At 40.3% G+C, this 23,875-nt stretch overlaps 1 protein-coding gene and 1 long non-coding RNA gene across 8 annotated transcripts in view; one reads left to right on the forward strand and one right to left on the reverse strand.

Moving 5' to 3' along the window:
• Positions 1-23,875, reverse strand: part of DAB1 (DAB adaptor protein 1) — a 1,551,949-nt gene that overhangs the window by 862,162 nt on the left and 665,912 nt on the right. The window lies entirely within an intron of this gene.
• DAB1-AS1 (DAB1 antisense RNA 1) lies at positions 3,642-6,277 on the forward strand. 4 transcript variants are annotated; one of them, NR_104362.2, is made up of 2 exons: positions 3,642-4,094; positions 5,517-6,277. It is a non-coding gene; the product is annotated as a DAB1 antisense RNA 1 (long non-coding RNA). The 4 variants fall into 4 exon arrangements; NR_104363.2 differs by having other exon boundaries at positions 3,642-3,980; NR_104364.2 differs by having other exon boundaries at positions 3,642-3,970.

Genomic DNA, 23,875 nt, shown 5'->3' on the forward strand with positions numbered 1-23,875 from the left:
TAAGTACACTTTCACTGATTAAAAGGATGCTGCCATGATGATCATGACCTGTGCAGATATCTGATGAGATCCCCACTCAGCTGAAACCCAAGCATCTTTGGAAAGTGTTCATTGTATCACTAGTGGTGTCTCTCAGAAATGAGATGATGCAATGAAGGGCTTTGTTCAAGCCAAAGAAGTTGGTAAGAGTATAGAAGAAGTGAGACACCTGGAAGTAAAGTAACTATGTGATACAGTAGTTTGAAATAATGTGAGAGAAACAAAAAAGGCAAGTGGGCATTGTTAGACAAGGAAAAACTCACTTCTCAAAGTGCTGAGAAAAAAGTGCTAGATTGATTTTTAATATGGCAAAAGAAGATTAACCATCAAAAGTGAAAGGAAGTAATCTCTGAATGACTAAATGACACTGGCATCTGGAGAAGATTCTGAAAACAATATACATGTATGAAGAGTAATAGAGTAAGCAGAGATGATGGTAATGATGATGGTGATGATGGGGATGGGGATGATAGCTAAGACTTACAAAGAGCTTTCTGTGTGCCAGACCCTGTTGTAGATACTTTACATGTAATAACTCATTTTATCCTTGTAACAACTCTATGAGACAGGTACTATTATTACCTCTATTTTATAGATGATGAATCTGAGCTATAGACATTAAGCAATTTGTCAATGGTCACACAGTTAGAAAGTTGCCACGAGTGGAAAATATAAGATGGACGTAGGCAGGAGTTATCCATTCAACCATCTACTATTTACTAAGTACTAGCTGTGCATCAGGTACTATGTTAGAGGTTAGGCTTAGGTTTTATAGAGAAATGTTTAAGATGTGACAAAGTTAAGATTGTAGTCAAAATATAAGTATTTTTAAAGTATTGCAGTTTTATCAGTATGGAATCATAGAATGTTCATACAAAAAAAAAAAAAGAAAAAAGAAAAAAAAAAGACCTTAGAAGTAATCTGGTCCAAGGTTCTTATTTTTAAAATTTAAAAAGAAAGAAAAAAAAAAAACAAAACAAAGCCCTGAAGCCTAGAGAGGGGAAGTGACTCACTCACTGACACACAGCTAATAGTGAGAGAACAAGATCAAGATCCTGAGTCTATTAACTCTTAATTATGTCACTTTTCAAAAACCAGGCAGGCCACACAAAATATACTGTGTTACTCAGGAGTTGAATGGGTTCCTTCTGTGGAAGTGTCAAGATCTACCACTGTCTCACCCATTCGATTCTAGTTGACAATTATGTCATTTGGAAGGGTATTTTTTTTAGAATCTAAGAGAACCTTAGTAATTATCTGTTCACCTCCTTATTTAAACTATTGGGAGATTATGGCTCCATATGATAAAATAGCATGCCCTAACTTTCTTGGTAGGTTAAAGAATGTCCATTACCATCATGAATTCAACACCTTCCTCCCTTAATGGCAGGGAAAAGACAACTGTTTGTACAGATGAATGCCACACCACTTTTCTTAGAGCCAGCTTATTGCAAAGTAAGGCACCCATATGTAGTATTGTTCTTAGTCTGCTCTGTGATTTCCCTGAACTCTGTGATGTAGATAGATGATAATTAGTACTCAGATTTAACAGAAAAAAAAAGCCATTATCATTGATATTAATAACAGACACAGAACTCCACCTCCTAACTCTGCCAGGCCAGGTGCTTGTTAGGGGGTGGCTGAGGGAGCCAGCACAGTCAGCAAGCAGGGAAACATCCCCCACCAAAGTTCTGGCTGACAACTGACTGTCTGAATTCATTTCAAACTCTCTCTCTTTGCTTCCAGCAACTCCTTCAAATTGGGCTCCCTGAGGTAAGAAGTCAGTGAGACAATGGCCAAAAGGCATTCTAGATGGGCTGAGATTTTACCTGATTACAAAGAAACTGAAGTTGGGGAAACAGTTCAGTCCACTAACCTGAGGGGTACTTAGTCACATGGGCAACTCTTAAGGGAAATCCCACTCTCTGACATTCAAGAGCTGCGATTCCAAGTATGGAATGCAGACTTGCCATTGGTCAGAACCCTGTGCCCGGAGCATCCCAGCCTCTCCTCTTGCTAAGAACCTATTTTTCCATCAGGCACTTCTGCAGGGGGTTGTCGTTTGAGTCCTGAAGGAGAAAGCTATGGCCTGTATAAACAAAAGCATGAGAACAGAACTTCCCTAAGCAGCCGAGATGGCTTTTCTGGTCTGTACCTTTCAGCTGGGGCTACAAAACCTAAACCTATTTCCTAACCTAGACCCCAAATTATTTGTCTCCATCAATCTGCCTGCTGACTTGTTTCTCATCTCCCTGCCTCTTGACCTTTTGCATTTACTTCCTATTAGTGATTCGTATTTGCTGCTCAGACCAAACATTTGGAACCTTTCCTCTTGTTTGGGCTCCGTATCCCTCTGACTATATGTTATTATTATTGCTCTTATTAATTATTTTTAAATATATATCTTATATTGTAGATAGTCTATGTGCCAGATGCCGTAATAGGCACTTTATATTCACTGAAACCCCCCATATTTTCAACAACCTTGCAAAAATAAATCATAATATGCTCATCTTACAGATGAAAAGGCTGAGGCTTAACAATTCCTCAGAGCTAGAAAGTGGTAGACCAGGAGGACTTGAACCTATCTTTACTTCACTTCAAAATCTGAGAACTTTGCACAATGCTGTCTAATTCTCATTCATCCTTTGGCTCGTTCTACCCTTAATTTTTCCAGACTAACTAGTTTAACTACATTCCCTGAAACATTTTCATCTTTCCTGATAATGGGCTCTCTTGGTATCTGAGATGGAATATATTTCCTGAAATCAACAGAGAGATTGAAGGGAAAAAATAAGCGAGTGAGGAACACATGGACTTCAATGTATCTCAAATATCTCTTGCACCACTGTGAATACCAGGACTATACCTGGATGAAGGTAAAAGCTACTATTAGACAAAGACCTCTAATAAACCTCTCAGTTTTGCTAACTTCCTCTCAAGTGAAAATACTATCGGCAATAGACTTAGGTCACTTCTTGCATTTGTGTTCTGATCTTCAGAGCTTTTTCATATCCCTAATTTCATGTGGGCTCCTGAACAACACTTATTATTGTCCCCATGGTATAGATGAGGAAAATAAACCAAAGAGAGGTTAAGAGACCTCCTTAAGGACACAGTGAATTACTAATACAGGATATGGGTAACTGGATCCTGGTCTTTTGGATGCTTGGGTTTGTGTATTTCACGAATGTAACACATAGAAAAAAAATTGTATTTTCAAGGGAACTAACATATGTTGAATGCCTACTTAGTATGAAAGATTATCCTTTCCATCATATATTACATTTGAGACACTCATATGAAGTAAGTGCTATTACTGTTCTCCATTTCCTGGGTTAGGAAACTGATGCTCAGAGAGTTATGTAACTTGCTCAAGATCACGGTAGTCACTGAGAGTCAGGACTGCATAAGAGTGTGCCTGACTCCAAAGCCATTCTCTTAAGGCTCCCTCATGGCATGCTTTTAGTCTCCATTGTGTCCAAGATGCTTAAGGAATTCCACACAGTGTTTGGAACACAAGGATGAATCCTGATGGCTCCCGCTGGTTGCTAGGTAACGTCTGTTTGGTACAATCTGGTTCACATCATAATGGTTCTTTTGCCAACAGGAGCTGGTAATCAGGATGGCAGTGAGGCAGGCACTTGCTTGCAGAAGAACAGGCCTAGTTTTTTAAGAAGCCACAAAAGTGTCTTTGGATGATTAGGATCTAAGGGGCCAACAGCTTTGCAATAACAGCATAAATATTGTGGGCTGGATGGACAGGCACCAAATGGGGACATTCCATCCTGCTGTGTGATGAGAAAGCTGCCACTTTTGAGGCCTTCCAAAACAAATCAACACTCCATATGCCAGAAGGAAAAGCCCAGGAAAGACCTATTCCAACTGGAGATGGTGAATGTCATTTCTTCAAGAAGCTGAGATCCAGCTGGTACTGCCAGGTGGAGAGTGAGTTGGGTAGCTGACCTCGGGCATGGCAGCCTTGGTTTTTGGCCACTTCATGGGGTGACCTGTTGAGCAAACAGCAGTGGAATTCTGCAGCTGTGGACCAAGATGTAAATACTCGTTCCCACTGACTCAGAGACATGCTACAGCCGAGGGTGGGGGAGGCAAGAGAATATAGGGACACAGGTGTTGGAGAAAAGTTTGTTTCAGCAGCACTCGCCCATAGCTATGAGTAAGCAGGGGCTCACTGGCCACAGAGCACCTGGGCTGTAAGCATGGACTTTACTCAGACGGACCTTGTCTTAGTTTATGGTACTTTCTTGCTTGCTATAACAAAGTACCATAAACTGGATGGCTTACATACAAGAGAAATATATTTCTTACAGTTCAGGAGGCTGGAAGCCTGAGATCAGGGTGCCAGCATGGTCAGATTCTGATGAGGGCCCTCTTCTGGGTTACAGATTGCAGCTAGTTGTCTAGCCTCTTCTTACAAGGGTGCTAATCCCAGTCATGAGGGCTCCACCCTCATGACCTAATTACCTGGCAAAGGCCCTGCCTCTAAATACCATCACACTGGGAATAAGATTTCAACATATGAATTCTACAAGGACAGAAACTTTCAGTCCATTGCCAACCTGCATTCAAGGCCCTCCTTTTCCATGCCATGTACTATTAGGGAAGCTACCTAACACCTCTGAACTCATTTTTCTAATCTATTAAATAGAACTAATATTTACCTCTATCTCAAAGGGTCATTATGATTAAATAATAGAATAGTTTTTAAGTGCTTCACACAATATTATATCATCAATAATTACTAGTATTATATATAACATAGTATATATGTATATTTTATAATATGTATTATAAATACTATAATATATAATATGTATTAAATATGAAGATATGCTATTGTCATTATTATCTCCTACCAAGAACCAAACCATTTTCAGGAATAGGAGAGACATGAGAAGTCCAGTATTTCTCTGAAGGTAGCAATAATCTCTTCTATAACCTGCTCACATGGTTATGCTTTCTCTGCTTAAATGCTCCTTGTGATGGGAAGTTCAGCAACTTCTATGGGTGCCCATTTTATTTCATTAATTGACTACAATGGAAAATAATTCACTAAATTCAAACAATCTGAATCTTTAAGATTTCTACCCTTTGGTCTCACTTCTGTTCCCTAAGATTACAGAATAAAATCAAGCTATTACTTACTGAAATCTTACTATATGCTAAGCACGGGTCTGGGTAATTTATTCACTATTATTCATTCTGACAACAGCCTCATGAAATAGATAGTATTATCTTGATTTTGCACATTGGTAAATTGAGGAAACAAAGTCACCTTTCACAACAACTTCATGAAATAGACAATATTATCTTGATTTTGCAGATTGGTAAATTGAGGAAACAGTCACCTTTCATGTGCTTGGCTATGAAGTATTTAAAGTTAGAGCTTTTCTCATCATTGAACTGAAATTACATAACGTTTTCAATGTTAAAGATTGCTGTGTTCTTGTTTCTAGGAATACGAAGGGAGAATGAAACAAAACTGCTCCGCTTAGGGAACTTGGAAAGGAAATTGAAAAGGCAAGGCACAGGCTGGAAGAAAATATTTGAAAAAGATTTATGTGAACTTCTTTCTGGATTATACAAAATATTTTTAGATATTCTTACAACTCTAAAATAAGATAACTCCTTAAAAATCTAAATTCTACCAAAGGAGAGATAAAGATGACGAATACATTCAAAGATGCTGAAAATCACTTATTTATTATTAGGAAGTTACAAGCTAAAGCATAATGAGATACCACTACAACCTACTAAACTGACTAAAATTAATCAGACTAACCAGGTGTTGGCAAGAAACAGGGACACTGAGACTCTCACACTGCTGGAAGGAATGTAAAATGCTAAAACTTCTTTGGAAATGAGTTCAGTAACTTTTTAAACAGTTGAAAATAGACCTATCATGCAAACCAGCAATCCCACTTCCAGGTATTTATACAAGGAAAATGACAACATATGCCCACATAAAGACTTGTGCACAAATGACCGTAGCAGCTTTGTGATAATTGCTAAAAACTAGAAACTTGTCAAGTGTCCAACAGGTGAGTGGACAAACTCACTATAGTATATCCATACAATTAAGTACTAAATAGCAATAAAAAGGAACTATTAATACATTTGACAATATGGATGTAAATTATAATGCTATGCTGAGATAAAGAACCCAAAGATTTTATACATATGATTCAATTTCTATAAACCGTTAGAAAATGAAAACTAACTGGAGTGGTAGAAAGTAAACCAGTGGTCGCCTGGGTATGGGGGAGGTGTGTATGGGGGATGTGTAAGGGGGGTTAGATTATAAAGGAACATAAGAAAACTTTGGGCTATGATGGATATATTTATGATTTTAAATGTAGTGATGGTTTCACAGGTGTATACCTGTATCAAATCTCATCAAATTATATACTTCAAACATATACAGTTTATTATACATCAAATACGCCAATAGAACTTAAAAGTCTTGGTGGAAAAGTGATCATATAACAAGATGGCCCTGTAGTCCAGTCAAGTTTACTGAGTGATAATTCTCATCTGTAGGCTTTGACAACTTGGGTGGTGTGAAAGTGTGTGTGTTCTAGTGTTGGTAATGAATGCCACAAGGAATGGCTGGGCACTGAGGCCAGGGCCCACCACCCAATCTGGGAAGGCTACGGATCTCATGTCTCAGGAACAGAGGTGTTATGGAAATGTATTAGAAACAAGAGATCTTGGAGGTGGAGTGGGTAGCATTTAAAGAGGAGAAAAAGAATAAAATTTGCACATAAGCTTTGGATTGATGAATGATCCTCTAGGGCATCACCAAAGAAAAAGAAACAACAAGAACTGAAGTTAATATAGGGCCTGGAACATAGCTCACATGTGATACAATCATCATTTATTCCTTTATTCATTCATCAAATGTGTATTGGGCTCCCAATTTATGCCAGAGACTATTCTAGATGCCAGAGATACAGCTCTGAACAAGAGATAAAATCCCTGCTGTCAAAGTGCTCCCATTCTAGTGGAATGAGATAGGACATTAATACATACATGAAAACTCTATAATATCAGGAGGTGATGTGTGCTAGGACGAAAAAGGAGAGCAGAGTAAGGAGTGGGTGGCAAGGCAGGGGCCTATTTGACATTGTCTGTGAAGGCCCTCTGAAGAGCAATTTGAGTAGGAACCTGAGTGAACCAAGCATGTGTCATGTGGATGTTGGGGAAGATGACTCCCTTCTGGAGAAGAAACACAAGGCCTGTTAGGGAATTGGGGGTAATGGTAGGAGTCTAAAGTAAGTCTTTCCATAATGGTGTAGTGATAACAATAACATAACTTCTTCCTCTTATTAAAACTTCTCTATGTACCATGATCTTGACTATGAGCTTTAATGCTTAGAGCAACTCCATAAGATAAGAGCTAGTGTCATTCTCATTTTATAGCTAAGGAAATAGAGACAAACTACATAAGTTGCTGAAAAATCACAGCAAATAATTAGCTGAGGAAGAGACTCAAATCTATCAGAACTGCTTGACTTTTGATCCTGAGCTTATGCGCATCCAGTGGGCAAGTGAGGGTGCATGGGTTTGTGAAGACTCCAGCAGTATGATTGGGGGTAAGTTACTTAACCTCACAGTTATGTGTACTGTATCTAATTTCTTATTTTTTAAAAAAATTTATTTATTTATTTATTTATTTATTTAATTATTTATTTATTTATATTATAGACACAGGGTCTCCCTATGTTGCCCAGGCTGGTATCGAACTCTGTTGCCCAGGCTGGTATTGAACTCCTGCGCTCAAGTGATCCTCCTGCCTCAGCCTCCCAAAATGCTGGGATTACAGGTGTGAACCACTCTACCCAGCCCCTCCTTGCTCATTCGTAATGAAACAACGCTTTGTAAACCGTGAAAGTGCTATATAAAGATATCTTTAAAATACCAAAGAAGTCCCTGTAATTAGATATTCTAATGCTAGCTACTGTAACAAATAAACCTCAGTATGACAGTGGCTTACTCCTGTAGAAGTTTACTTCTTGTTTGCAAATAAATCCCGTACACTTGGAGGTGTGTGCCAAATGGTGATTCAGGGAACCAGGCAGGCTTCTTTCATCTTGTGGCTTGGTCATCACCTAGGGGCTCACAGATGTCTCCTTCCAGGGAGTAGAAATGTAAAAAGAAACCAGAAAAGGCATATCTGCCTCTTCAAAACCTCAGCCTTGGAACAATACATGTCACTTCCATTCACATTTCTTGGCAATAAATAATCATGTGCATGCACTTGGGAAACAAGAGAGGAGCTAGAAAAGGCAGTCCTTGTTGAGACAGCTGCCCCTAGGGACAACTGCACTTTATAGAATGAAGACCACAACTTTTTGGTGGATAATTAGCTATTTCTGGCATAGCCCCTCCCTCTCTTGCTTAAGGTCCATATGATGAAATTTAACACAGCCCACTGGGCCCTAAATATGTTGGTCTCCCTGAGCCACACACCCAACTTCAAATCATGCCATTCTTGGTGTCAATACTCCAGCAACACTGGCCTTTATGTCTCAAACATGGTCTCAAACAGGTTCACTGGGCATGATAAACTCTCCCACCTCTTCATTATTGGCTCTCTCCTCTTCCCCCAAGGCTGCACTTGTCCTTCCTGTTCTAAATGCTCATCATCACCTCACTATCCCCATCTGCTCGCGGCCGTGCTCTCAGGAAATCTCAACACATTTGTAATTATTTGTTCAGTATTTTAAAAGCACAAGCTAGAGTTAGACTGCGTGGATTCAAAGCATAGATCTACTACCTACTGGCTGTATCAACTTGGCCAGGTTATTTAAACTCTCTTATTCTTTATGAGCTGCTACAACAAAATGCCATATACTGGGTGGGTTGTAAACAGCAGAATATTTTTTATAATTCTGGGGTCTGGGAAATCCAAAATTAAGGCGCCAGCAGATTTGGTGTTTCATGATAGCTAGCTTTCTGATTCAAAGATGGTGCCTTCCAGCTGTGTCCTCACATGGTGGAGGGAGCCAGCTAGATCCCTGTGGTCTCTTTCATAGGGGCACTGATCCCATTCATGAGAGCAGAGGATTTCAACATATGAATTTTGTGGGGACACAAACTTTTCTTGCCACTATTTCTTCATTTATAAAATGCAGATAATTATGACTCATTCTTCATTGATGATGAAGACTAAATGCAATAACGTATACAAAATAATTAGTATAGTATTAGCTGTACATTAATGCCAAAAACCACAATTACTTTTGCACCAACCTAATAGCAGCTGTCACTGTTGTTACTGTTACCGCTCCTCTTCACAGGTACAGGGTGAACTCCGAGACCATCTCTCCTATTCATTTACATCCTCAGAACTTAGCACGATGTCTGACCATAGTGGATTTTCAATAAGTAACTATGGGGTAAATTAATGCTCTCCATTTCTTCTTGTGTGGTGGGTTTTCCTAAAGGCCATGTATCTGTAGTTTGTCATTCTTTGAGTGCTGGTTCATGTTCTTCTATGGAGACAGAATTTCAGTACAGCACCTTAGTGAAGAGTACAATTCTAGAGCAGGACTGAGGGTCTCAGCATAGTGTTTTCCAGCTATCTAACCCAGAGGAAGTTATTTTTCTTCTTGACACCTCAGTTTCCCTGACTGTAAATGGGGATGATTCGGGCATGCCTTACAGAGCTCTTATGAGGGCAGCACAGTGTCTGCACAGAGGAAGCACTCCACAAATGACAGGTATTATTTTTAAGATTAGTTTTGAAGGCTTTCTTTTAATAGCAGAAAATGAGCACAGGATTGTGTTTAACATGCTGTGCCCTTCCTTCTTTCCCTTGAATGGACTTTAAAGTCATCGTATTTATGAACTCCCTGGGCTGAATGTCCCCTTGAAAGAAGGTAGCTGAGAGCAGGTGAAAGCTCCTGGGCCAAGTTTATTTGAGGTCATGAAATAGCACTGGACATGGTCACTACCTTTTTCCTCTTGGGCTCTCTCAGCCTTTGCCTTTCTGTTGGATGTCAGGTGGAGGCATGGGGGCACCAATGCAGGAATCACCACACCTACTCAGAAAGAAGGCATTTACCAAATTGCAAAGGAACACATCCTGCCTGCAGACAATAAATGGTGTGTGATGCTTCCATGAAGTGAGATGGATGGAGCTCTCCGTTGCTAACTGGCCCATAACCACGGTCATTAATCACACACGGCACGCCCATTGCCAGTAATGGACTTCACCCCGGAAAACTCCAACTCGTGGTGCCAATGGGTTAAAGGGAAGGCCTCGCCTCTTAGGGAAATATGGGTCTCCCTTTGGGATTAACCCTGGCGTTTGCCACCCCTCATTCACTGAAAAGCCCTTTTAATTGATTTTTCTTCCTATTCCCTCCAATCTGTCAAGAACTCACTTGCCAGCCTCTGCCTGGACCCAGAGACATTGCCTGAACTGTATGAATTGCTAAGAAGCTGCTAGTCTGCAAGGAATTTCCCTTTTCTTCTTCCCTTAATAGACAAAAAAGTAACTAAACTGCAACAGCAGAGCCTCATTTTTTTGCCACAACCCACATCTCTGAAGCTAGATCTGGGTAGGAAAACAACCTGACATCATCATCTACAATTTTCTGAGTGCTTGCTTTGTGCTAGGTGTGGCCACGTTGCCTCTCCACAATTAATCTGAATAATTCCAGGGCTCTCCATTTTTCTAGATAAAGACACGGAGGTTCAGAGAGGTTAAGTGAATGGCTTGCCCAAGTTTGCACAGCTAAGGACAGAAGTGATAGTCAAACAAGCACACCAGATTGCAAATCCAGTGCCCTTTCTGTGATGCTGCAGAGTGCCCTGGTCATTATCTTTTCTTTCTTGGACTGGTATCTGAAGTCTCCTCACAGCCACAAATGAATCCCTGTTTTCCTCTTAACCAGCACTAGAAAAGCAGAATGGCACGGGGTGTGCTTGAGATAACCATGAAAAGTGGACTTGCATTTTCAAATGCAGTAAAGTTCCACCACAGTGATACTCGCTAGCTAGGTCCAGTAAATACTGCTTAACTTAGTAGAAAAGCTCCAGCCCAGCTCTGGTACACTGAAATACTCAGGATCAGAGGGCTAGGCATGGTTCAGTCTATTTACTTTTCATGGGAGAAAGAAGTGATTAGGTAATTTGTAATAAATTCCTCAGCTATGCAGAATTTCTGCAGAGGCACTATTAATTTGATTAATAAGGAAGAAGCCATCTGACATTTCCTTTTGGTGTGCCATTTATTCTCATAAGCTCTGCGTGGTTTTGAACCAGGGGTGGTAGGAGAGCATTTTCAGGGTGTTCTAGGCCTGTAACAAAATTGCTTAAGCAACTAGACTGATTTCTTTCGTGCTGGGAGGTCATTTGCAATGGAAAGATTTTCCTGTTGTCACTTCTGCTGTTTTGGTTGCCAGAGGCCATCTGATCTGAAAAAGGCATGGGCAAATTATTCAGCCTGGCCTACAAAATTCCCCATGAGCTGGCCTGGTCTTGTCATTACGTTGGAGTTACTGACCTCTTAGGGCAGACAATTATGTGGTGTGGAGAGCTGTCTTGTGTATTTTAGGATATTTTACAGCCCAAACAAATCTATCTCTAGACATTTCCAAAGGTCAGCTGGGGGGCAAAATTGCCCCCAGTTGAGAACCACTGCAGTAGACTATTGAGTTCCTTGAGGATGTGGACTCTGTATTGTTCTCAGTGTTATTCCCAGAGGCTATCACGGTGCCTGACACATAGTAGGCACTTTATGCCCTTTGAATGAATGTAGCATAGAGCCCAGGGTCATGTTCTGCTAGGCTTCCTCTATACAACACACTCTTCCTTATTGGTACCCAGTGCTTTCCTTTCTTACCTCTGTGTCTTGACTCTTCCACCTAAACTGTTTTTCTTCTTCCATCTTCATGTATTCAGAAGGCATCTTGATGCCTTCAAGATTTTTTTCCTTCAAGGTTCTGTTCAAACACCATCTTAACCAAAGCTATCCCTGATCACCCAGATGGAATAAATCTCAGTATCTCCTGGCCTCCCTAAGACTTGTTATCTCTATTTCTTTTATGATATCCAACTCTTTATGGGCAAGGTAATATAATCTAGTAGATAAGAGATCAGACTCTGAATTGGAATTACAGTTCCATCCTTTACTGCCAGTAAAACTAAGGAAAAGTGACTTATCCTTCGTCTCTGAGAGTATTTCCTCATGGGTAAAATGCAGGTAACAACAATTACCTGCAGGGATTAAATGAGATAATGTATTTAATGGCCATGGCTAAGTTCCTGGCATTTAGGAATGAGTAGCTGTTATTATTATTCTCACTTTGGAATGGAAGTTTCCTACAGACAAAACCAAGTTAATGTTCATCCTTGTATCTCCAGTTTCAAGGTCAATGCCTGATAAATAGTAGGTACTCAATAACTCTATTCATGCACAAACAAAGTTGACACTTCAAGCTGGAAAATTCTCCAGGACAGTAGAGTCATGGGCTCTTTCTGTGAAAGAGGAGAAGAAGCCTACTCTGAGCTCCTCATTTTACATAAGGAAAAAATGAAGGCCAGAGGATAAAAATGGCTTGTCCACAGCCGCACAAGGTAATAGAAGTCAAAGTCACGTGCCAGCTAGGCCTGCTACCCTCCTAACTACCACAGACCACACTCCTTAGAAGTCCAATGGAGTCTCCCTCTCTCCTGTTTGCAAAGTGGTGACGAGAGAAACTTGCTTCAGCATGTGGGAAAGCTAATTAGAGCTAATTTATTACTTCTCTCAGAACTAGGATGCTGGGTAGAATCTGTTGGAGGTCTGTGCTGCAAAGAGAAATGCTCTTGATTATATTTACACATCTGATTTGAGAAGTACATGGAAACCTAATCATAACTATCATAACATGTTCACTGACTCTCAGTATACTTATCCTGGCTGCATGAGAAGTTTTCCAAGGTGCAGCTTGGGCTGCATCTTTTTCAATTAAGTTCTTCCCGGACTATGTCAAACTCTCTCTGAAGCTGTCTGGAGGAATGGACAATGTGCTGGAGTTAGGCAAATTGGATGAGTTTTGGAAAAATACTTACCCTCTCTGAGCCTCTGTTTCCTCCTCTGTATAATGGGGGCAATCATACCTACCTTGCAGGTTTGATATGAGGATGAAATATACTATATCTAAGTGGCATATGCAAGGCCAGGTGCATACAGGAGGCATACATTAAATATTAGGCCCCTCAATAAATGTTAGCCTAGACCTATGTGTATGTCTAGGTATTTGCTGTGGAAAACTCTGGTCCTGTCCGTGAGTGCCAACACATCTTCAGCCTCATTCTAGGCTCTGCACTTGGGGCTGCATAGAGTTATGGGGCCAGCCTAATAGGGAGGTGGCTGGAATACAACTAAGAAGCCGTTTTATTGGAGAATGATGGAGGAAGCATTTAATGTGATGGGTGGAAAGACAATGGACTTAGGCATTACATAGACTTGTACTGGAATCTCAGCTCTAGCACTTTCCACTACAGGATCTTGGGAAATTCACTTAACCTCTCTGAGCTTAGTTTTCTCATCTGCAATATGGGCAGGAGTAATCAACTCACATAGCTGTTATGAAAAATGAATTTATATTATGCATATAAGAATGCACAGTATATAGTAAGAGCAAAATAACTGAGCATGATGAGGCAGAGGCTGGTCCCAGATTCTGCTAGGCATACAGCACATACTCAGTAAATGTGCTAAATGAGTAAATGATTTGGACAAAATTTACTATAATCTGGAATGAATGGGGAACAGAAAAGGACACTGGACTAGGAGACAGAACCATATCGGTTTGTATCCCAATTTGACAATTTGACAAACTCACATCTTGCCAAGTCTCAATTTTCTCATCTGTAAAAGAGGGTGATCCTGATAAAGACAAAAGAGTTGACATTGGCAAGGAGAATTTATCAATTGCAAAGCAGACTCTCATGATATTTGAAAAGCGTTTAGTATAGCACCCCAAAACAGTAAACCATTCAATAAATGGCTGACAATAGCTTTAACAGATAATCATAAAGCACCTAAAAGTGCCAGCCATGGGCTTTCCTTGTGAACGAGATATACCAGGATCCCTGCCTCTTTGGAGGAGCAGCAGCAATATCACCCTCCTCCTCCTCATCACCAATGAAGGGATTGGAAAGATAGGGGTGTGTATTCTCCATCTAACATCTGATGACAGAAATGTCTTCTGATGTTGTGGGAATTATGTCTAACATCTGATGACAGAAATAGATATAACTATCTAAGAGGTATAACTATCTAAGAGGTAATAATAGTTTCATGGGTATCTGGTGCTGTTTTAAATCCTTCAAGTGAATTGATTTATTTAATTATCACATCAATCATATGAGATAAATGTTATTACTACATTGTACCCATTTTACAAATGGGAAAATTGAAGCCCAGAGAAATTATCTTTCCGAAGATCACACAGCTAGTAAGCTTAGAGCTGGGTTATTTAAACCAGGTCATCTGATTGTAGAACCTGCGCATCAATCACTATGCTAAACTTCAGCAAGGTTAAGTGTCTTGCTCAAGGTCACATAGAAACCATGGCAAAGCTGGGATCCTAACAGGTTTTATGGACTCCACCTCTAACCCTTCTGGTTTATAAGCATCTAAAAGACAGTTTTGCTCTAGGTTTGTCAACAGCTTCACCTAAACACAAAGACAGCTTCTTCAAAAAGTAAAAATATGCAGCTTGCAACTGGTGGTCTTTTTATCAGAATTTTATAGAATCCTTCTGTGGTTTCCTTTTCCATATTTAGGAACTGAATTACATAACTGAGTGTATACATGTATGGGTATGTGTGTATAAAACTATATGCACTACAGGAGTGACAGCTCTCCTAGATCACTTCCTTTCTCTGTGCTCAAGATGTAAGTTTATTTGTTCATTCAACAGACACCAAAGTGTAGGGTATCCAGTCAGACTCTGCTATTTAGGGGACTGTGACTTGGAGCAGGTATTGTATAGTCTCTAAGCCTTAGCTTCCTCATCTGTAAAATGGAGTTAACAATTGTATATATCATAATCTACACTGTAGGATTCTTATGATAAAATGAAATGAAATGCTTATCAGAATGCCAGATGTAGATGGCAATCAAATACTTTAAAAGTTATTATTATTAATAGTTAAATACTATAATAGAAGTCTAGCACTCTTATGATCTGAATGTATATGTTTTCCTAAAACTCATGTGTTAAAACCTAATTTCCAATGTGATGGTATTAAGAGGCAGGGACTTTGGGACATAATTAGCTCATGGAAGTGGAGCCCTTATGAACAGAATTAGTGCCCTTATAAAAAGAGGCCACAAAGAGACTCCTCATCCCTTCTCCCACGTGAGGACACAGTGAGAGGTATATCTATGAACCAGGAAGTAGATACTCATCAGACACCAAATCTGCTGAAGCCTTGATCTTGGAATTCCCAGCCTTTAGAACTGTGAGAAATAAATTTCTGTTGTTTATAAGCTATTAAGTTTTGCTATTTTGTTATAGCAACTCAAATGGACTAAGATAACTACCCACTGGTCACTGTGCTTGGTTCTTTGAATGCAGCAAGAAATAGGGCCCATTCCTCATCTTCAAGGGGTCCGCAGTCCCCATTGGGAGAACAACATGTAACGGACAGCTGGCCTTGGGTTTGGAGGTGCTGCTGTACCAGAGGGGTATGGTCAGTGTTGTGGAGCCCAGAGGAAGGATTGATTAATTCCTCACTGACGGGAGTGTGAATAAGAAGATGATTTTGGATGTTCCATAGAGAAGGGATGTTTAAACCTGGACTTCATGTTTGGAAAGGGTTTGGAAAAGAAGAAATGTGAAATGGGAAGTATGAAAAGGGAACTTGAAGTACAGAAAAAGGCTGAGCCAAAGCAGGGTGGTGTGATTGGGCCTGGATAGTTTCCAATGAGTAAACACTTTCTGGGAGACTAGGTCTGGACTGGATGGTTAGAGAACAAGAGGCAAGAACTGAGCCCCCTGTTCTGATTTTTGTGTGATAGGACTCTACAGTGTTCAGCCTCCAGATGGAGACTGTAGAGGAATCTGAGATAAGATTCCTAAGTAAAGGAATCTAAGGCCAGATCATAAAGGGTCTTAGGTGTCAAGCTAAGGAGGTGAACTTTATCATATAAACAGGCAGGAGGAATTGACTGAAAAATCTCTTAATATCTATTGATCAATAAATTGAAAGACAAACAAAGATATATAAATATTACTGAGATATCAATATTTATATGCATAAAGCTAACTCTATATTCTGTTGTCTTGTTCTTTTTTAAAAAATGAGTAGGGTGAGAGCAGGGTCTGCTTGCTCCTTATTCATCATCATAGCCACAGCACTTAGCAAGGTAACATTGAAAGAACTTGAAAAAACCTTGTACTGGAGTAGATGAATGAATAAGCTATAATCACTATCTTTTGATGTTTGCTGAATGAACCAATGAATTTACATCTTGAATGTAGAGGAAGCCAAGTAGTTTCACAAAGCAGGTGGCATTTAATCTTGAAATTGTAGATGGGTACAATTTAGCCTTGCAGAAGTAAGTGATTACTGGTGGCGGGACCACATGTACAGAAAACAATCTCGCTGCCCAATGTATAGCAAAGGGTTGAAGAGCATAAATTCTGGAGCCAGAGTTCAAGTTCTAGCTCTGCCATTTAATAGCTGGGGCTCTACAGCATGTTTCTTAGCCCTCTGTGCCTCAGTTTCCTCATGGGGACAATAAGAGTATTCGTCTTATAGGATTATTGTATAGATGTAAAGTTCTTATCACAATAATACTATTTATGCACAGTTATTGTATATAAATACTGTATATAATAGTATTTGCTATTATTAATACTATTATTGCTGGACTCTGAATGCCATTGGCAGACTGAACACTCTAGAGTCCTATCACACATAAATCAGTTCTTTCTTCATATATTATGTCTGAACAGTCTACATGAGTCTCTTTGACACAAGTCTCTGGTACAGATGAAGACCAGAGAGCTTGGGAGTCACTGCTGAAGAGAAGAGTGAATGAGTAAACAAAGGTAGATGAGGCAAAGAACATACCGAATGTCAGGATTCAGATGGGACTGCTGTATGATATTAATGAACACAGATATCTGGAGAAACCATGTCAAAGCTTTCCAAGAGAGACTGTGAACAGTACCTGGGGAACACCAAAAAGAGAGATGATAAAGAAGGGATGACAAGTCCCTGCAGGCCTGGACCAAGTGCAACACAGAACAAGCAACAAGACCAAAAGAAAGCAGTGTGTCTTGTTAAGTTTCTTTGCAAGGCTTTAAATCAGCTGTGGCTTCCTGGCAGGGTGAGGCAGGGCTCCAACCATTACAGGTTACCCAGAAGCCACCAGAGAAAAATGGAGAAGGAAAACCTTGAAGAATGAGCATCATCCCTGATGTGATGTGGTTGCCATAGAGACCACTCTAGACGGTAGCCAGGAAGGGCAGTGCCTGTCCTCAGAGCAGTTAACAAGCTATTAGACCAAACATGAAGGTGCCAGCAGGTGAGTAGAATGAAGCTGCTACATCACAGCTGTCTGTTTGCTAAGATCAAACAGAGGAAGAAACAGCCATAAATCAGCCAGGCCACTGCAGCCATTGAGTCAAGTTCAGGGGAGCATGACAAGATTTCTAACCTGTGAGTCAAAGCCCTGGGACCACGTCCCAGAGGTAGATGCTCAGAAGAGTGATGGTCACATTTTCCCAGACTGGCTTGAGGGTTCAAACAAGGTTAAAACAGAACAAAACTGCACCACTAGCAAACATACAGACAGTAACTAAGAATGTGGGAAATGCAAGCTGAAGAGAGTGCAGGAAGGCAATAAATACAAGATTTCACAACGTGGTCCCAACATTCAGACAAAACTGAAGACACAGCAGGGATTTGTAGCAAGCAGGATACATGCTTCTAGAAACATTCACTGCTTAGTTTAAGATGGTGAACCCGGCTTTGAAACTTTCTCAGAGCAAGTGCTTTGGTTCTTCTGGACTGCCTCTTCAGGAAAGTGTCCAGAGAGGGCAAGCTCAACTACCTACTGAATCTCCAAACTAAGCACTGAAGATAATCCCTCCAGATGAACCATTTATTGTGTGGTTATGCCTGCTCTCTGAAGAGGTGTAAGGCCCCCTGGGTCCGCTCTGCCATCTACAAGTATGTCTATTTGCACAGATAGATGGTGACTTAATGCCCAAGTTCCTTATGTCTGGTTCTTGACTACCTGGAGCCCTACCTCCTGTCTCCCCTCTCACCTGAGCTATATTTAAAACATCACACCTTGCTGCCTTTGAACATGCTCTTTTTCAGCTTATAGCTCTTTTCAGCTCTTTTTCAGCTTAATCAATTTCTACCTTGCTCTACGACTCAGCTCAAGGGCCATCTCATTCATTCATTCATCCACTCATTCATTCTTTCAACAAGAACTAAATGCTTCCCAAGTACCTGATACCTTCTGGGAGTCCTTCCTCTGTGCTTCCGTTATACCTGCACTTCCTGCTAATGAAACATACTGCTCTGGGACAGGATTGTTTATTAATGTGTGTCTAGCTCATTAGACTTTAGATTCCTTGAGGGCAGATTGTGTCTTGCTGACAGACTAGCATAGTTTTTAGAATTAAGCACATAGCAGGTACTCAATAAATAATTATTAAAGGATGAATAAAAGAATAAATGAATGAACTGCATTTCAAATTCTATCCAGGTTGCCGTATTCTGAAGGGAATTCTCCAAGCCATCACGTTGGCCTGGGATGAAATGTTCTCATGTGCATTACTTAATAAAAAGAGATCTGGGTCAAATGAAAAATTTAAAGTCAATATGAAATTGATCCTCATCAGCACTTTCTCCTCCAAACATATAGACAAAAGGACATTTCTGAAACATATATATTAGTGTTGCATTTTCTGCTCCACAGACTCAGCGATCGTTGTCACTGCTAAGTCCAGCTCTCATTAATTTATGGGGCATCCAGCATAATCAGCAACAGGCTTCTTGGCAGCATAAATCAGTGACCAGCCTCGAATTTGGGAAAGTCTCTAAGCTGGAAACAGAAGAATTTTCTTTCTTGCTCTTTTTTGTTAGAAGTCACTGAGCACTATTTAAACTAAGCTCAAGACCTTTAGGCTGAATGTTCAAGGACCCACCAATTCATCAGCCAACCTGTCCTCTTCAACTGTGCAGGGAAAGAGAATATAGGCAACCATAACACATCTGGATAGTACCTTCTTAGGAACTCCTGTTGCATCTTTACTCAGTTTAGTAGCCATATAAATAACGATGTCCCCAGAAGGATAAAAAAAGGAGGCAGCTGAGGAGAAAAACAAAACTCCCACTGGAAGAAACACGATGATATGAAAAAGCCAGATGTATCAGGTGTGACAATCTTGTGCACAGTACCTGGCACACATATGTGTTCATCACGTAAGGTGATTGTTGTGATGATCTGTTGAGGCTGGCTTCAGACAGAACTGGGAAAATGATTCAGGACTTCATGTTGAAGCAGCAGGGTGTGAAGTCACAGCGTCTCGGGCTGCATTTCCTTTTTTTCTGATTCTGTAGCGTTGCGCAGTGTCACAGCCCGAGTGCCCTCTCACCCAGACACATCTGACGGTACCCTATAATCCCTTTGCCTTCTATTATTTTGCTTGGATATTTGTCTTAGAACATTTAGTTTAGGATTTTTCACGTTTCTCCTAGTTGACATGCAGGCTGGACATACAGTGGGCCTCGATTGCTTAGAAGCCAAACTGAACTCACCAAGAAAAGAAGACAGGAGAAACTTCTCAAGAGGAATATCTCCAAATTGCAGGTGAAGGTCACAGGGAGGAGATGCCTCTGGGCTAAAACTTCAGGTGGTCCTAGTAATGGTACTATGGGGATAGGGATAGGGATTGGAAATGAAGCATGGAGAGGATTATGAAAAGTTGCAGTGAGGAAGGGGCTTTATCCCAAAGTGCACCCCTCCAAACTTGGTGGGAAGGGTCTAGGTGTGTGTGTATATATGTGTGTGTGAATATGTATGTATAGATATATGTATACATGTGTTAAATACTTGAAAATATGATTACATTTAGTGTCACAGTGATACTATAAGGAAGGTATTATTTCTTTTACAAATGAGGTTCAGAGTGGTTAAGACACATGCCCAAAGCCACAGAGCTGGTTATTAGAAGAGCCAGGACTTGAACCCACTGCCCCAGTTTTGAATTTTTTAATCAGTTCAGTTGCCTAGTTTTGAAAGCCAACTAAAGTTAAGATTTGTACCCTCTGTCCCAGCTAAGGAAATTGTTGTGGGCGCCCTGAGTTTGCGTAAGTCTTGACCATTATGATACACTCTGTTCCCCACCCTGCAGCTCCCTCTCTGGATATGACACAATTCTAGGACATTCCCACACACACCCTTTGGCTGTTCCCACCTGAAGCACTTGGGATAATTCTCTCCATCCTGAGTCAGTCCTAGTCCAAAGTCATTCTTCATTCTGCTTCATCTTTTAAAAATCCTAATTGATTTATTTTTTTTTTTTTTTTTTTTTTTTTTGAGACGGAGTCTCGCTCTGTCGCCCAGGCCGGACTGCGGACTGCAGTGGCGCAATCTCGGCTCACTGCAAGCTCCGCTTCCCGGGTTCACGCCATTCTCCTGCCTCAGCCTCCCGAGTAGCTGGGACTACAGGCGCCCACCACCGCGCCCGGCTAATTTTTTTTTTGTATTTTTAGTAGAGACGGGGTTTCACCTTGTTAGTCAGGATGGTCTCGATCTCCTGACCTCATGATCCACCCGCCTCGGCCTCCCAAAGTGCTGGGATTACAGGCGTGAGCCACCGCGCCCGGCCGATTTATTTTTTATAATTACAAAAGTTACACATACTCATCACTGTATCAGATTTAGAAGAACAAAATATAAAGAGAAAAATAAAAACCCTTATTATCCTGCTATGTAGAGAGGTTCACTCTTAATATCTTAACGCACTGTCTTTAGTCTTTTCGGGTGTCTATAATTACACACCTAAACATATGTTTGGAACAAAATTGGAATCCTGTTGTATATAAAGCTCTGAAGCCTATCTTTATGTCCATATGTCAATAACAACATGAAAAATTCTTTAGAAATATGTTTTATTTAATGACTGCATTATTTAAGTGTGAAGAACTTCAGTAAAATCTTTTTCTTATTTTTGGAAATTTTGATTGTTTGCCTTTTGTCAACATTGCAAGTAACGTGGAAACAAATTTTTATTCACAAATTTTTGTTATTTCTATTTTTAGGATCGAATACCATAAGAGGAATTCTGGACTGAAGAGTTATGAAGTCATTTCAGACACTTCCAGACAATTTGTGTTAATTAAATTCTCACTGGTTGAGTTCCATTCTACACTGGAAGAGCATTTTTCCTGGAAAGGCTCCTCAAAATGGTAATAAAGGGTAATTCTTTTAGATGATCTTGCATTTGTTTGAATGGGAACTGAGCTTAATCAAACATGTTAGGAAGACTATGTCTGTTTCACTTTTTAAAATTATTTTGGATGGACACAATAATTATATATATTTATGGGGTACAGAGTGATATTTTGACACATGTATACAATGTGTAATGGTCAACTTAGGGTATTTAGCATATTTCTCACCTCAAACATTTATTATTAATTTGTGTTGGGAATGTTTAAAATCCTTTCTATTTGAAATTATGCAATAAAATATTATCTATAGTCACCCAACAGTGCTGTAGAACACTAGAACTTTTTTCTCCTATCTAGCTGTAATTTTGTATCCATTAACCAAATTCACTATTCCCTCCTCCCTCCATCCTTCCCAGCCGCTAGTAACCACAGTTCTACTCTCCACTTCTATGAAATAAGCTTTTTTAGCCCCCACATACGAGTAAGAACATGTGATGTTTGTCTTCCTGGGCCTGGATTATTTCATTTAATATAATGTCCTCCAGGCGTATCCATTTTCCTGTGAATGACAGGATTTTGTTCTTTTTTATGGTTGAATACTATTCCATTTTGTATCTATATCTCATTTTTTATCCATTCATCTGTTGATGAACACTTAGGTTGATTCTGTCTTGGCTATAGTGAATACTGCTACAATAAACATGGGAGTGCAGACATCTCTTCATCTATGTCATTTTTGTCCTGGGCACATAGCTAAGCTACATTTACATTCCCCTAACAATTAAATTGGGCCATATAACTGAATTCTGGCCAATGGAATATGGGTGGAAGGGCTGTCTGCCATTTCCAGAAATGGTCCCTAAACATCTCCCAAGTATGATCTTCCTCTCTCTTTCCCCATCTTCAAAGACCTTAGAGGCCACATGTTGAAGATGATGGTGACACAGATAAGATGGGGAAACCTAGCTTTCTGAACGGTTGTATTAAGTATCATAATGAACTTTTTAAAATCATGTTGTTGGTTAAGGCGACTAGCACTACTCATCCTAACAAATACAGTGAGTATGCGATTTACTCACTCAAGGGTCCCCAAACTAAGAAGCCTCAGATGGCACTTTGTGTATCTAGCCATTAATCTGTGGTTGGCCAGCATGCCCTTTCACAGAGGCCTGTGGGGATCTGTAGCTCCTAAAAATCAAGCCTAGTTTTCAGCACACAGTAGGGTTTATGTGGGTGTGGGCTTATGTGTATTTATGGAATGAATGAAACCTTACAAGAGCCCAGTGACTCCACCTGGCTGACACCTAAGCAGGATTCACTCTGCCATTTGAAGAGGATCCTCCATTGGCCTCTGTCCCCTGCTGCAGTTAAGAGCTTCATCCCCAGAACAAGCCCATTGCAACTATATAAGGCAGCTGTACACTGCTTCCCCATCACAAAAGCCCAAACGCAGGGAACAGCCCTTCTGAACAGAGGCTGTTGCACAGAGGAAAGTGGAGTTTCCCAACACAGTCATTTCTCTTCTCCTGCTGACGCTAATTACAGTTTGCTAAATGTAAACTGGTGAAACATTTCGCCCACCCAACAGTTCCAGAAATGGGCCCATTGTATTCATAGTAACCTAGGAAGAGAAAGTTGTTCCTCCTTCTAAGTCTTTTGTCTGTTTCCCCCTCCCCCCTACCCCCCCTAGTACCTTTGGCAAACACAGAGAGGTATGCTCATAGAAGAGGTGAGTTTGGAACTGCAAATCCTCCCAGCCTCAGGACCTCTCTTTTGGTTGCCTGCTCTGCTACAAAGCTGGAGATCTAAAGTGGAGGCGTGTAGAAGACACCGTCTGGCTGGTAGGGGGTCTAATTACATGTGTGTGCAGCCCTATGTGACAGTCTGGGAATGCAATTATACAACTAATTATATTGAAACAACAAACTTGAGCTTCCACGAAGGGCCCCCGCCCATAGAACCATCATGTTGTCATTTTCATACACTGTCATTCCTTTCTTCTGTTCTAGCTTCACTTGTTGACTCTTCTCACCCTATTAAAATCCTCCTCTTTTCAGGACACCATCAAGAGTCACCTCCTCAGTGAAGCCTTCCATGGTTTCATACCACCCATCCCTATCGGAATGAATGTATCCTTGTTCTCCGTTATCCCAGTATTTTGCCTGGGCTTCTGTCACACTACTTTCAATGTCTATACCTCAGTTATCGAATCGAAAAACAAGAGTCATCAGTCTCTAAGGTCCTTGCAAGCTTCAAAACTTTATATTTTTGTCAATTACAACTGAATAAAGCTGAACAACTTATTATTTATGGATACTTGCTCAAGCACCATATAACTCTTTCAGATATTTTAAAAGAATATGTTTGCAAAAGACTCCAAATCAAT

This window comes from Homo sapiens, chromosome 1, assembly GCF_000001405.40.
Source record: "Homo sapiens chromosome 1, GRCh38.p14 Primary Assembly".
NCBI classification, from domain to species: Eukaryota; Metazoa; Chordata; class Mammalia; order Primates; family Hominidae; genus Homo; species Homo sapiens.